Genomic DNA, 15,500 nt, shown 5'->3' with positions numbered 1-15,500 from the left:
CACAGCAAAAATAAAACTACAGGTCAATATCCTTGGTGAACATAGGAAAATCTTCAACAAAATATGGGCAATCAAACTGAATCCAACAGCATAAAAAAAAAGTACATCATGAACAAGTGAGATTTATCCCAGTGATGCAAAGATTATTCAACATACGCAAACCAGTAAATTTATTGCATTACATAAACATGATGAAGAACAAAAAACAGATGATCATCTCCATAGATGCAGCATAAGAATTCAATAAAATTCAATATCCTTTGTGACAAAAATTCTCAATAAATTAGATACAGAAGGAACATTCCTTAACACAATGAGGGGGGTATATAACAAATGCACAGCTAACATTGTACTTAACAGCGAAAAGCTAAAAGCTTTGTATCTAAGAACTTGAACAAGATAAGGATGGTCACTTTTACCACTCTTATTCAACATAGTACTGGAAATCATAGAGCAATTAGGCAAGAGAAAGAAATAAGAGGATTTTAAATTAGAAAGGATGAGACAAAATTCTATTTCATTGTAGATAATATGATATTAAATATAGAAAAACCTAAAGACTCCACCAAAGACTCTTAGAACAGATAAACAAATTCAGTAAAGATGTAGAATACATAATCAGCATATAAAAATCGGTAATGTTTCTGTACATTAATAATGAACTAGCCGAAAAATAAAGCAATTGATTTACAATAGGTACATGAAATAAAATACTTAAAAGTAAATTTGCTCAAAGAGATGAAAACCTTTACAAACGCTGATGAAAGAAATCTAAGGGGAAACACACACACACACACACACACACACACACACAAATCAGAAGACATCCCACGCTCATGAATTGGAAGAATTAATATTGTTAAAATGAGATACTAACCAAAGCAATGCACAGATTCAATACAATCCCGGTCAAAATACCTATGGCATCTTTCAAATAACTAGAATAAAAAGGAATCCTACAATTTGTATGGAGTGACAAAAGACCCTGAATAGTTCAAGCAATACTTAACAAAAATAACACAGCTGAAAGCATCACCCCACCTGTTTTCAAAATATTCTACAGGCTATAGTAACCAAAGCATGATGCTATTGGTATAAAAACACAGAAAGCAATGGGATGGAATAGAGAATGCAGAAATAAATCTATGTATTGATACTCAACTAATTTTTGACAAAGGTGCCAAGAACATACATTGGAAAAAGGTGGCCTTATCAATAAATGGTACTGAGAAACAGGATATAAATATGCAAAAAAGAAACTAGACTACTGTATACCACCATATACAAAAATCAACTCAATATGAATTAAGACAAATATGATACCCCAAACTATAAAACTACTAGGAAAAAAACATAGCAGAAGTGATTTAGGACACAGGACTGTGTGAATACTTTATTGGCAAGACTTCAAAAGCATAGGCAACAAAACTAAAAATAGACAAATGAGACTATATCAAACTAAAAAGTTTCTGCTCAGAAATGGAAACAATCAACAGAGTGAAGAGACAGTCTGAAGAATAAAAGAAAACATTTGCGAACTATCCATCCAATAAAGAACCTATATCCAGAATGTATATGGGACTCAACAGCAAAAACAGTGACGACAACAACAACAAAAACCAATAATCTAATTTAAAAGTAGGCAAGTGATCTGAATAGACATTTCTTAAAAAAGGACATTCAAATGACCAACAAATATATGAAAAAAATGCTCAACATCACGTTATCAGGGAAATGAAAATTAAAACCATAATGAGAATGTTTCACCCTGGTTAGAACGGCTATCATCAAAAAGACAAAAAATAACAAATACTGGTTAGGATTCAGAGAAAAGAGAACTCTTATACACTGTTGGTTGGAATGTAAGTTAGTACATTTATTATGGAAAACAGTATGGAGATTTCTAAAAAAATTAAAAGATAACTACCATATAACCCAGAAATCCTATAACTGGATATTTATCCAAAGACAAGGAAATCAGTATATCAAAGATATATATGCATTTCCATGTTTATTGCAGCACTATTCACAGTAGCCAAGATAGGAAACAAACCTAAATATTTATCAACAGATGAATGGATGGAAAAATGTGATGTTAAGAAAAAATACACACAAACACACACACACACACACATACACACACACTGTGAAATAATATTCAACCATAAAAATGCTTGAAATCCCATTGTTTGTGATAACATGGATAAGCCTGGAAGACATCATAGTAAGTGAAATAATTCAAGCACCGAAAGATAAGTATCCATGTTCTCACTCTTATGGGGGTGCAAAAATAAATTTGATCTCACAGAAATAGAGAATAAAATTGTGGTTATTAGAGTTTTGGAAGGGTAGGGAGGAGGGGAGGGCAGGGAGACATTGATTGACAGACACAAAATTAAAGCAAGAAAGAAGCAATAAGTTCTAATGGTCTATAGCACTCCAGCATGAACATAGTTAACAATAATTTATTGTATAACTTCAAAAAGCTAGAAGAGAGGATTTTGAATGTTCACTAAAAGAAATGATAAATATTTTAAGCGATGGATATGCTAATTATCCTGATTTAATCATTACACATGGTATGCATGTAGGAAAATATCACTCAGTGTTTTCATAAATTTGTACAATTGTTACATGACAACTAAAAGTGAAAGAAAAAAGGACAATTTATTTTTATGTGGGTGGGTTGCAAATAAGAGAGAAATATAAACTAAGCTTCACATCACAACAGAGGAAAAAGATCAGAAATGACAAACATGTTACCTACTGAATGGTGAGGTTTTATGTGAAGAGATACTTAGAGAGTGAGTCTTAATTGTTTAACATCCTAGAATTTTCTGGAATGAACTACTAGAGTATTAATAATGTGTGCTGCTACTTCAGGAATTAGCATTTCTAAATAACTAAATTTGGAATGCTTTTTATGTAAATGGAGAATAATATATTTTTCTTGAGTCTTCTTTAGAAATAGCATTAAATGTTGCTATGCACAAAGAAAATAAATGAAAAGTGTGATTGTGTAACATAGTTTTTAAAGAACACCACCATACATTCCTTCTCTCCTTGTAATGCCACATCAACAATCAAGTAGAGCCTATCACCTGGCCCTTGCCTCTTAGCTAAGTTGATGACTTGCCTTAACCAAGAAAATATGGCGAAAGTGCTGTTGTCCTAGTTCAGGGTTTGTGACTTTAGATACCTAGTAGCTTATGCTTTCATTCTGGGAAATCCAGTGACCATGCTCTGAAGAAAATTAAATTGTAATACTGAATAGGGAGAAAACGCATGGAAATAGAAAGGGAAATTGAAGGAATATCAAAGCACCAGACATGTGAGCAAAATTATGATTGACTTTTCAGTTAAGCCCAGCTGCCAGCTGCCAGCTGTTTAAGCGACCCCAGACAAGAATACACATAGCAGAAAACTACCAGGCAAGCAATTTCTAAGTTTATTATCTAGTGTTGTGAGAAATAATCAATTGTTGTTTTCTAATTGTATTAGTTTGCTAGGGATTTGATAACTAACACAAACTGGGAGGTGTATACAACAGAAATTTATGTTTTTACAGTTCTTTAGGATGGAAGTCCAAGATCAAGGTGCTGACAGGATTAGTTTTCTCTGAGGACTCTCTCCTTAGTCTGCAGACAGTTGATCTCTCGCTACCTCTTCATAAGCTTGTCCCTCTGTGCACACATGTACCTGGTATTTCTCTGCATGTCCTAATCTCCTCTCCTTACAAGGACAATAGTCAGACCGAATCAGGGTTCAACCTTGACTCACTTTAATTTAATTACTTCTTTAAAGGCCCTATCTCCAAATACAGTGACATTATGAAGTACTTGGCATTAAGAATTCAATATATGAATTTGAGAATAAGGAAACACAAATCAATCAATAACATTAGGACACAAAGTTTGAAATTAAATTATTGTGCAGGAATAATACCTGAAATAATAACTAAAAGTATAGATTATAGATAAAACTAACAGAAACTGGTATTCAATTGAATGAATGGAACAAGATAAACATTTGAAATATATCTTCAGCTAATACATTTCTGAGTGTAAGAACATTACCTGCAGCTATTGAGATGCTACAGTCTTCCACTGGAATGTTCCAAAGCACAAAGATGTATAGTATAAATCTTAAAGATTAAAAAACACAACAAAAGTTTGAAGATGAAATAGATATGAAAATATACTTAATTTATTTGAGAGAGAGAGATAAAAAAAGAAATAAAAAAAGGAAGGAAGGAAGGAAATGGAGAGAGTAATAAGAGGAAGGAAACAAAAAGGAGATGAAACATTGAAAACAAATAGTAAGATGATAATCTTAAACCTATGTATTTAACTATAAATGATCTGCACACCTAAATTAAAAGGCAAAGATGGTCAGGTAGAATGAAAAGCAAGACCCAACTGTATGCTGCCTACATACATTAGGTAGTATATAATAGATAGCAGTTGTAGGTAAATAGTAGTAGCATAATGCTGACTATGTTGAATGCAAAGAAAAAAAAAGTAGGTCAAAAGTAAAGAATGTGACAAAACATATGCCATGCTAACAGTAATCTAATGAAAACTGGTGTGGCTACATTAATATCAGACAAAGTAGATTTAACAGCAAATAATATCACCAGGGTAAAGGGGTATTTCATAATGATAAAAAGATCAATTACCCAAGAGTACATAAAAATGCTAAACATTTATGTCTTTATGAATTATAAAACACATAAAGCAAATATAAATACATAAGACATAGACTTGCAAAGGGAAATTTAATAATTAATAATCTTATTTGGTTTTCAATATCAGTATATCAATAAATTATGGAATAAGTATAATTAAAAAAAGAAAGTCAGTTAGGATATAGAAGCTAGGAACACTATCAAGCTATTTACGTAATTGGCCTTTGTAGAACACTCTACCCAACGACAGAAGAATATGTATTCTTCTTAAGTGCACTTGTAACTATAATAAATCAGATCATATTCTGGGACACAAAACATGTCTCAATAGATTTTTTAAAGTCACATCATAATATGTTCTCTGATCACGATGAAAATGTTATTGATTAGAAATAAATTTAAAAAGCTATTTGTAAAATTCTAAGATATTTGGAAACCAAATAAAATATTTCTAAAGAACTCACAAGTTAAAGAAGAAACAAAAAGGGATAGTAGATAGTATTTTGAACAGTATGTTAGTGAAACACAGGTATTTTAATGTAACGTTAGTGGAAATAGAAATTTTGATATAAATTTGTGAGAAGCCACTAACTATTGTGGTATTTACAAGAAATTTTATAGCAATAAATCTCTCAACTAGAGAAGAAGGTCTCAAATAGGTAACTGCAGCTTCAATTTTAAGTATCTACAAGAAGAAGAGCACACTAAATCCAAGGTAAGTAGAAGAAAGAAAATGATAAAGATCAGAAAGAGAAACTCTTAAATATTGTTGGTAGGATGTATTTCAGCAAAGCCATTAAGGATAATAGTATGAAGTTTCCTCAAAAAACTAAAAATAGAACTGCTGTATGATCCAGCAATTTCACTACTGTATATAAATCCAAAGGAATTAAAATCAGTAAGTTGAGATATCTGCATCCTGTTTATTGCAGCACTATCCACGATAGCAAGAGATGGAATCAACCTAAATGTTCATCAAAAGATGAATAGATAAAGCAATTGTGGTACAGATACACAATGGAATACTATTAATAAAAAGAATAAAACCTGTCATTCATGGGAACATAGCTAAAACTGGAAGAAAAAATGTTAAGAGAAATAAGCCACGTACAGAAAGGTAAATACTACATGATCTTACTCATATGTTGAATCTTTAAAAGCTGATCACATAGAAGTAGAGAGTAGAATAATGGTTATCAGAGTCTGGGCGAGTCTGGGTAAAGGGATGAGGAGAGGTTTGTTAAAGAGTACAAAGTTAAAGATTAATAGGAAGAATAAGTTCTGTTGTTCTGTTACACAGTAGAATGACTATAACTAACAATGCATTGTATATTTCAAGATAGCTAAAAAAGAGGATCTTGAAAATTATCACCAAAAAGAAATGATAAAGATTTGAGGTTACAGATATGCTCACTACTCTGCTTTGATTACTCTGCAATGTACACATGGATTGAAACACCATTCTCAATCCCTTAAATATGTACAGTTTCTTTGTGTCTATTATAAACAAAATTAAAAAGAGAAAATGATAAAGATTAGATTGTAAATCAGTGAAATAACAGAAAAACAGAAAATCAGAAGTTAATCCTGGTTATTTGACTTAATAAAAATATATTCACAAAGCGTTGATGAGAGCAACTAACAAGAAATTACAGAGACTCTGTGACTAATATCCAAAATGAGAGCGATGGCTTCAATACATGTTCTAAAGCTATTAAGAGGTTAACAAAGGGCTATTATAACTAATTTGATGATAGTATATACTATAAGTCTTAAAGGTTACAAAAACCACAACAAAAGTTTGAAGATGAAATAGATATAAAAACATACTTAATTCCCTTAAGTGAGATAGAGAATGAAAGAAAACACATTAACAATTTAGATTAATGAACAAGTCATTGAAAGACAAAAATTGTAAAAGCTTCCTCAAGAAAATAAATTTACAATTTATATTAAATGAACAAGTCATTGAAAGACAGAAGTTGCAAAAGCTCCCTCAAGAGGAAATAAATAACCTGTATAACACACTTTTATACAATAAATTGAAATTATAGCTAAGATCCTCTCATAAGAAAAACCCCAGGTCTGGATGTTTCCCCTTGTAATTTCTAACAAATATAATATAGAAAAAATAATATTAATTATACAGAAATTCTTCCAGAAGATTTAAAATGAAGGTATTCTTCTCACTCATTCTATTAGTAAATTACCATTATATGAAAATTTGAAAAAAAAAAAAAGAGAAGAAAATCAGATAAAACACAGATCTACATATCAACATCCTTAGTGAACACATATGCAAAAATTCTAAACAAAACTTTGGGAATTAAATACAACATTGTATAAAATAAATAAAATGTTAAAATTATGTACCATGACTAAGTGGAATTTATCCATGAATGTAAGACAGGTTTGACGTTTATATATCTTCAAATCCATGAGCCTGGAGCTTAAGAGAGGGTAAAATATTTATGGAATGAAAAAATAATTTTTTATTATACTTTAAGTTCTAGGGTACATGTGCACAATGTGCAGGCTTATTACATATGTATACATGTGCCATGTTGGTGTGCTGCACATATTAACTCGTCATTTATATTAGGTATATCTCCTAACACTATCCCTCCCCTCTTCCCCCACCCCACAACAGGCCCCAGTGTGTGATGTTCCCCTTCCTGTGTCCAGTTGTTCTCATTGTTCAATTCCCACCTATGAGTGAGAACATGTGGTGTTTGGTTTTTTGTCCTTGCGATAGTTTGCTGAGAATGATGGCTTCCAGCTTTATCCATGTCCCTACAAAGGACATGAACTCATCATCTTTTATGGCTGCATAGTATTCCATGGTGTATATGTGCCACATTTTCTTAATCCAGTCTATTGTTGATGGACATTTGGTTTGGTTCCAAGTCTTTGCTATTGTGAATAGTGCCGCAATAAACATACATATGCATGTGTCTTCATAGCAGCATGATTTATAATCCTTTGGGTATATACCCAGTAATGGGATGGCTGGGTCAAATGGTAGTTATGGTTCTAGATCCTTGAGGAATTGCCATACTGTCTTCCACAATGGTTGAACTAGTTTAAGGTCCCACCAACAGTGTAAAAGTGTTCCTATTTCTCCACATCCTCTCCAGCACCTGTTGTTTCCTGACTTTTTAATGATCGCCATTCTAACTGGTGTGAGGTGGTATCACATTGTGGTTTTGATTTGCATTTCTCTGATGGCCAGTGATGACGAGCATTTTTCCATGTGTCTGTTGGCTGCATAAATGTCTTCTTTTGAGAAATGTCTATTCATATCCTTTGCCCACTTTTCGATGGGGTTGTTTTTTTCCTTGTAAATTTGTTTGAGTTCTTTGTAGATTCTGGATATTAGCCCTTTGTCAGATGAGTAGATTGCAAAAATTTTCTTCCATTCTGTAGGTTGCCTGTTCACTCTGATGGTAGTTTCTTTTGCTGTGAAGAAGCTCTTTAGTTTAATTAGATCCCATTTGTCAATTTTGGCTTTTGTTGCCATTGCTTTTGGTGTTTCAGACATGAAATCCTTGCTCATGCCTATGTCCTGAGTGGTATTGCCTAGGTTTTCTTCTAGGGTTTTTATGGTTTTAGGTCTAACATTTAAGTCTTTAATCTATCTTGAATTAATTTTTGTATAAGTTGTAAGGAAGGGACCCAGTTTCAGCTTTCTACATAGGGCTAGCCAGTTTTCCCAGCACCATTTACTAAATAGGGAATCATTTCCCCATTTCTTGTTTTTGTCAGATTTATCAAAGATAAGATGGTTGTAGATGTGTGGTATTATTTCTGAGGGCTCTGTTCTGTTCCATTGGTCTATATCTCTGTTTTGGTACCAGTGTCATGCTGTTTTGTTTACTGTAGCCTTGTAGTATAGTTTGAAGTAAGGTAGCGTGATGCCTCCAGCTTTGTTCTTTTGGCTTAGGATTGTCTTGGCAATGCGGGCTCTTTTTTGGTTCCATATGAACTTTAAAGTAGTTTTTCCAATTCTGTGAAGAAAGACAATGGTAGCTTGATGGGGATGGCATTGAATCTATAAATTATCTTGAGCAGTATGGCAATTTTCATGATATTGATTCTTCCTATCCATGAGCATGGAATGTTCTTCCATTTGTTTGTGTCCTCTTTATTTCCTTGAGCAGTGGTTTGTAGTTCTCCTTGAAGAGGTCCTTCACATCCCTTGCAAGTTGGATTCCTAGGTATTTTCCTCTCTTTGAAGCAATTGTGAATGGGAGTTCACCCATGATTTGGCTCTCTGTTTGTCTGTTATTGGTGTATAAGAATGCTTTTGATTTTTGCACATTGATTTTGTATCCTGAGACTGCTGAATTAGCTTATTAGCTTAAGGAGATTTTGGGCTGTAACGATGGGGTTTTCTAAATATACAATCATGTCATTTGCAAACAGGGACAATTTGACTTCCTCTTTTCCTAATTGAATACCTTTTATTTCTTTCTCTTGCCTAATTGCCCTGGCCAGAACTTCCAACACTATGTTGAATAGGAGTGGTGAGAGAGGGCATCCCTGTCTTGTGCCCATTTTCAAAGGGAATGCTTCTAGTTTTTGTCCATTCAGTGTGATATTGGCTGTGAGTTTGTCATAAATAGCTCTTATTATTTTGAGATATGTCCCATCAATACCTAATTTATTGAGAGTTTTTAGCACGAAGTGCTGTTGAATTTTGTCAAAGTTCTTTTCTGCATTTATTGAGATAATCATGTGGTTTTTGTCTTTGGTTCTGTTTATATGCTGGATTACGTTTATTTATTTTCATGTTGAACCAGCCTTGCATCCCAGGGATGAAGCCCACTTGATCATGGTGGATAAGCTTTTTGCTGTGCTGCTGGATTCGGCTTGCCACTATTATATTGAGGATTTTTGCATCAATGTGCATCAGGGATATTGGTCTAAATGAAAAAATAAATAAATGTTTCATTCCGTATTTGAAACCATCTCACAATTTGTCCTTCTGTGATGTTCCTAAAGTGAAACATCTTTGACTCTAGAGTCACTTCGTCTTTGTCTTATTCCTCGTATCATTAGTGCTAGTAATGTGTCATTGGTCTAGCTGTTTAGCATTATGCTCAGTGTCACCTTCTTTAAATTAATGATAAAATAACCTATAGGATTATTGTGGCAATTAAAAAGAGCATTAAAAAGGCCTATATCTACATCTTCTACATACTTAACATTCAATATAGCTTAGCAATTATAGAAAGCTAAAATGTGCCTTCTTTTGGAAGACTTTCAAAAACTTCCTACATCAACACAGTTCCCGTTTAATGAATTCTGTTTGCTTAATATAGTAACAACATTATTATTTATTTGTTTACATATATGCTTCCTCCACTGCTGGACACTTGCTTTATTAATGTTGATCTATATGAATCATCAGTACAAATACAGTGGGATTAGACTCATTAACATTTATGGAAGTAATTTTTGATGAAAAAATTTTCATGCTACCCGACTTCAAACTATACTACAAGGCTGCAGTAACCAAAACAACATGGTACTGATTCAAAAACAGATATATAGACCAATGGAACAGAACAGCGGCCTCAGTAATAATGCCACACATCTACAACCATCTGATCTTTGACAAACCTAACAAAAACAAACAACAGGGAAAGGATTCCCTATTTAACAAATGGTGTTGGGAAAACTGGCTAGCCATATGTGGAAAACTGAAACTGGGCCCCTTCCTTACACTTTATACAAAAATTAACTCAAATTGGATTAAAGACTTAAACGTAAGACCTAAAACCATAAACACCCTAGAAGAAAACCTAGGCAATACCTTTCAGGACATAGGCATGGACAAATATTTCATGACTAAAACACCAAAAGCAATGGCAACTGAAGCCAAAATGACAAATGCGATCTAATTAAAGAGCTTCTGCACAGCAAAAAAAACTATCATCAGAGTGAATAGGCAACCTACAGATTAGGAGAAAATTTTTGCAATCTATCCATCTGACATACAGCTAATATATCCAGAATCCACAAAGAACATAAATTTACAAGAATAAAACAACCCCATCAAAAAGTGGGCAAAGGATATGAACAGACACTTCGCCCCATCAAAAAGTGGGTGAAGGATATGAACAGAAAGAAGACATTTATGCAGCCAACAAACATGAAAAAAGCTCATCATCACTGGTCATTAGAGAAATGCAAATCAAAACCACAATGAGATGCCATCTCATGCCAGTTAGAATGCTGATCATTAAAAATTCAGGAAACAATAGATACTGGAGAGGATGTGGAGAAATAGGAACACTTTTACACTGTTGGTGGGACTGTAAACTAGTTCAACCATTGTGGAAGACAGTGTGACGATTCCTCAAGGATCTAGAACCAGAAATACCATTTGACCCAGCCATCCCATTACTGGGTATATACGCAAAGGATTATAAATTATTCTGCTATACAGACACATGCACATGTATGTTTATTTCAGCACTGTTCACAATAGCAAAGTCTCAGAACCAACCCAAGTGCCCATCAATAATACACTGGATCAAGAAAATGTGGCACATATACACTATGGAATACTATGAAGCCATAAAAAAGGATGAGTTCATGTCCTTTGCAAGGACGTGGATGACATGGGAAACCATCATTCTCAGCAACCTAACACAGGAACAGAAAACCAAACACCATATGTTCTCACTCATAAGTGGGAGTTGATCAATGAGAACACATGGACACACGGAGGGGAACATCACACACCAGGGCCTGTCAGGGTGTGGGGGGATAGGGGAGGGATAACATTAGGAGAAATACCTAATGTAGATGATGGGTTGATGGGTGGAGCAAACCACCGTGGCACGTGTATACCTATGTAACAAACGTGCACGTTATGAATATGTATCCCAGAACTTAAAGTATATGTGTGTGTGTATATATATATCCCTAAAGACTCTAAGAAAGAAACCTGTTAGAACTAATAAATGAATTCAGGAAAGTAGTAGGATACAAAAATCAGTTTTAAAAAGTTTTATTTTAAATTATTTTTGTAAAATTGGTGAAATTTGAAAGCAGACTTGTTATTAGTTTAGAAGCCTGAAAAATGTTGGAAGAGGAGGAAAATAACATTTTTAAAAAATTTAATGTGTCCACCATCACAAAGGCATCCTACTAAATTAATCAAAGTCATCTATAAGGAGATTGATGGGGTGGGGGATAGTAAATAAAAGGCGAGTATCCAGAATTGGAAATGGAGTCATTATCGATTAGGGAAACAAAGCAAGTAAATAGATGCAATATAAAAAATAATCATTTGTAAAATGGTAACAGTTAGAGTAAGGACATAGAAAAGGAAACAGTGGAGGAGATGATAAAAGGGTTAGATTAATACAAACAAATTACAGTTTTATGGAATCTTGAAGAGGAAATGACTTCTGAACAAATTGATCTTCAGTGTAGCTAATCAATAAGGATGTGGATTAGGCTAAATTATCTGAAATTCTTCATCTCATAATGTCTAATTACTGCTAATGTACTCTTAAATGTGGAATTTTGGTAAGATCAGACTGTGGTTATTTTGAAGATTCTCAGACTCTCTGTCCTGAGTCATCAAGGTTGCCTTCTCCCTAGAGTCAGTTTGCTCCACTTATAGCCTTAGTACAAATCTCCAGGATGTTTTGAAAGGGGAGACTTTAATACTATGTAGCCTAATACTCTGGTACTTAACATTGAAGTTATTGTTGCCTCTCTTTTTTGAGTTTGCTTTTGCTTCTCTTATTTCCCTATTTCAAGTTTTTTTGAAATCATGTATCAGAATTTCAAAAGGAATCCGCCTGTCTTTCTCATGAAATTATTGTAGAACAGATGAAAACATGGGAGAAGTGAATGAATGACAGTTTATCTCATTGGATTTGAATCCAAAATTATCATGAGAAAATCTCCTAGATGCCTTTTGAAATTCTGATGCACTCTATCAACAAGCTTTGGCATGACTTGTTCTTCGTGAACCATGCTGGTTCCAGATGATTAGTCTTTCTGTTTCTCAGTGTTCTTTAAATATGCTTCGGAAAATATGTCCTAGAAATTTACTGGGACTCATTTCAGATTTCTTAGAAGTTTCAGAAATCAATTTTTTTTTCATGTGTTTCTGCCTTTAGACTTCTGTCCCCCCCTCGCTCTCATAGATTTATAATATTAATTTAATTACATGCCACACCTTATTATTCTGAAGTCATGTAAGCCTGGTTTCTCAGAAAAGTCGTTTGTAGCTATGTTTCTGTCGTAGATCTTATTATTGTTCAAAACGTAATCATATGCCACCCCTACACGAGGCAAATATATTCTCACCCCTTGCCATGGTCCCTGTTAGTCTTTTTGTTTGAGGGATGTAATTCTTATTTCATTGTCTTGGATAGTTACTTACTTTTTGCAATGCAGCATGAGAGAAAGTAATATATGGTAATTTTGAGCAAAGGTTTCGAGTCATTACTTATTTCTACCAGCTCTCTTGCTCTTTTCCTCTGCCATAAGAATGTCATGTCCAAGATAGGGACAATACTCTCAACCTTGATTGCAGAATAAGAATACATGTGGAGAAGGGTCACAACAGTCAACCACAGATGTTCACATAATATTGTAATGTGGGTGAGAAATGTATGTTTGCTGCTATAAGCTACTAATGTTTTGGGCATGTGTGTTATAATACCAAAGAAGAAGAAGATTTCTACCATCAAAATGTATCTTTCAAAACTATGTGAGTTCTGATTTTGGTCATTGAAAGAATAAACACTTATTCTTTGTATCTGATTATTAGGCCCCGCAAACCTCTTATTTGGTGATTTTTTTTTAGGTATTTTAGGCATATATGTATATGTTGAAGAGAAACCTAAAAAGAAATAATAGTTGAAAAAAGATAATAATGTTCCAGGAGTTGAAAGAACCCCAAAGATGGAAGTAAATATGGGCAAAAAGTAGTGATTGAATAGTGATTGAAGGAGAGAATGGCCTAGAATTAGTGTGAAGAGGAGGTGATGATGTCATCAATCGGCCCCATGAAAGATCTTGGAAAATGTTCTGAGAGCCTTCAGAAGTATTTGATATAATTTAAGCAAGAGAGTAATATAAAAATATTCTAAAGCTTGTGTGGTGAATAAAATAAAAAGAAACACAGTGGGTACAAGAAAAATGATGATACTGCAGGTGTGGTTAAGAATTCACCTATATCAGTATGAGTATACAAAACATTTTGTATCCTTATGAAGGCATTAATTTCATGCACACATGCTCCACCTTCATGACCTGATTACCTTTCAAAGGATACACTGTGCAAATATCAACACATTGGGATTAAGGGCTTGATGTATGGATTTGGGGTTGGGGGCACAAACATTGTCAATTGCACACCTTTTTATTTTGTTTTTTGATCCATCTACTGCCACTGATAGGTTTATAAGGCCACTGTGACAAAATTTCAGAGACAGGATTGTTTTATGATATTGTTATCAAATGGCAATATGCAATTCTCTCTACCACTGTTTGTGTAGTCCTACCTGGGAATCAAGTTTTGAGAACATTTTCAAAGATATAGGATATAAGATTCATTAAATTCTTATATCCTATTCACAAAAAGAAAGAACTTTTTTTTTTCTAAACAATTGGGTTTCTAAAAAAACCCCACCTTTGGGGTGCTTATAATTCCTAGGACATTATCTTGTTATCAATTTTATAATCCATAGATTATAAAAATATATATGACTCTTCTGGACCCTACCTTTAAAGCTGCCAACAACTCCGAGAGTACTGCAGGCCTCCATCGGCAACTCCTGCAAGTGTAACACCAAGGAGCGTGTCCGGCTCATGAAGGTCTTTCAGTCAACATATTCAAAGTGTGAGCACAGGCTTTCAATGTGGAAGGAGCATGGTCTGATCCGCGGAGGAATGTCTCCTGGAGGAGGAAAAACATGCTGATCCCCGTTTCCATGGGCAGCGCCCTGACAGACCTGATCCTCATTGTCTTCATTGTCCACCTCATCTGCTGGAAGTGGAGTCTCGCTGGCTACCACGGGATCCAGCTGCACACGCATGGTCGCAGACACAGCAGTTTCAGGGGCCTCTGTTCATTTCTCTGAGCTTAGGGTCCTGTTGAGGGCCAGGCACAATTTCCCCCAAAAGTTTCTCAAACCAGCTTCACCAAATGTGATGTTCATCTTGCAGCATTTACTATGCACAACAGAGTAGCTATTGAAATAATGGTGTTAATTTTGCTAACCGGTTAAACATTAATATTACCAAAGTGAGCTCTAAGGGAGGGTAGGAGTGTTTCCCTCAATTGGCACCGGCTCCGCTATCATTTAACATTCTGGTGTTCGGTTTCTTCATTCTTTGCTGCACTCAGATTTAAGCCTTACAAAGGGAAAGTCTCCAGTCTTCACACTTAGAACTCATGAAGGCTGGCTCATTGTTTGCTGACATGCTTAAGAAATTACAAATAGTAGAGGAGGAAAATCTTGAGATAGAAGGACTTAAAAGAGGAACAGCTGGAGTGTTTCACATAAGCTTTAAAAGTGAGGACAGATCTGGCCACATGTGGCTGGCCGTCAGCCTTCCAGAGAAGGCACTCAGTGGCATGTCCTTGGGTATTTTTGGTGCTCTGCCTCTCAAGGGCTGGCAATTTTTTAATACAAAAATGAGTGGGGTTTTTTTGTTTGTTTGTTTTTTGACGAAGTCTTGCTCTGTCGCCCAGGCTGGAGTGCAATGGCGCGATCTCGGCTCACTGCAAGTTCCGTCTCCGGGGTTCACGGTTCACGCCATTCTCCTGCCTCAG

The 15,500-nt window shown here is 34.6% G+C and overlaps 1 long non-coding RNA gene across 1 annotated transcript in view; it reads right to left on the bottom strand.

The window, feature by feature from the left end:
- Positions 1-14,629, bottom strand: part of LOC124909491 (uncharacterized) — an 84,567-nt gene extending 69,938 nt beyond the window's left edge. The window contains exon 1 of the long non-coding RNA XR_007096269.1: positions 14,448-14,629. This is a non-coding gene — a long non-coding RNA (uncharacterized LOC124909491). The remainder of the gene's footprint in view (positions 1-14,447) is intronic.
- Positions 14,630-15,500: the final 871 nt, after the last annotated feature.

The sequence above is a fragment of the Homo sapiens genome, chromosome 3, assembly GCF_000001405.40.
Source record: "Homo sapiens chromosome 3, GRCh38.p14 Primary Assembly".
NCBI lineage: Eukaryota > Metazoa > Chordata > Mammalia > Primates > Hominidae > Homo > Homo sapiens.
This window is presented reverse-complemented; position numbering and strand designations above follow the sequence as displayed.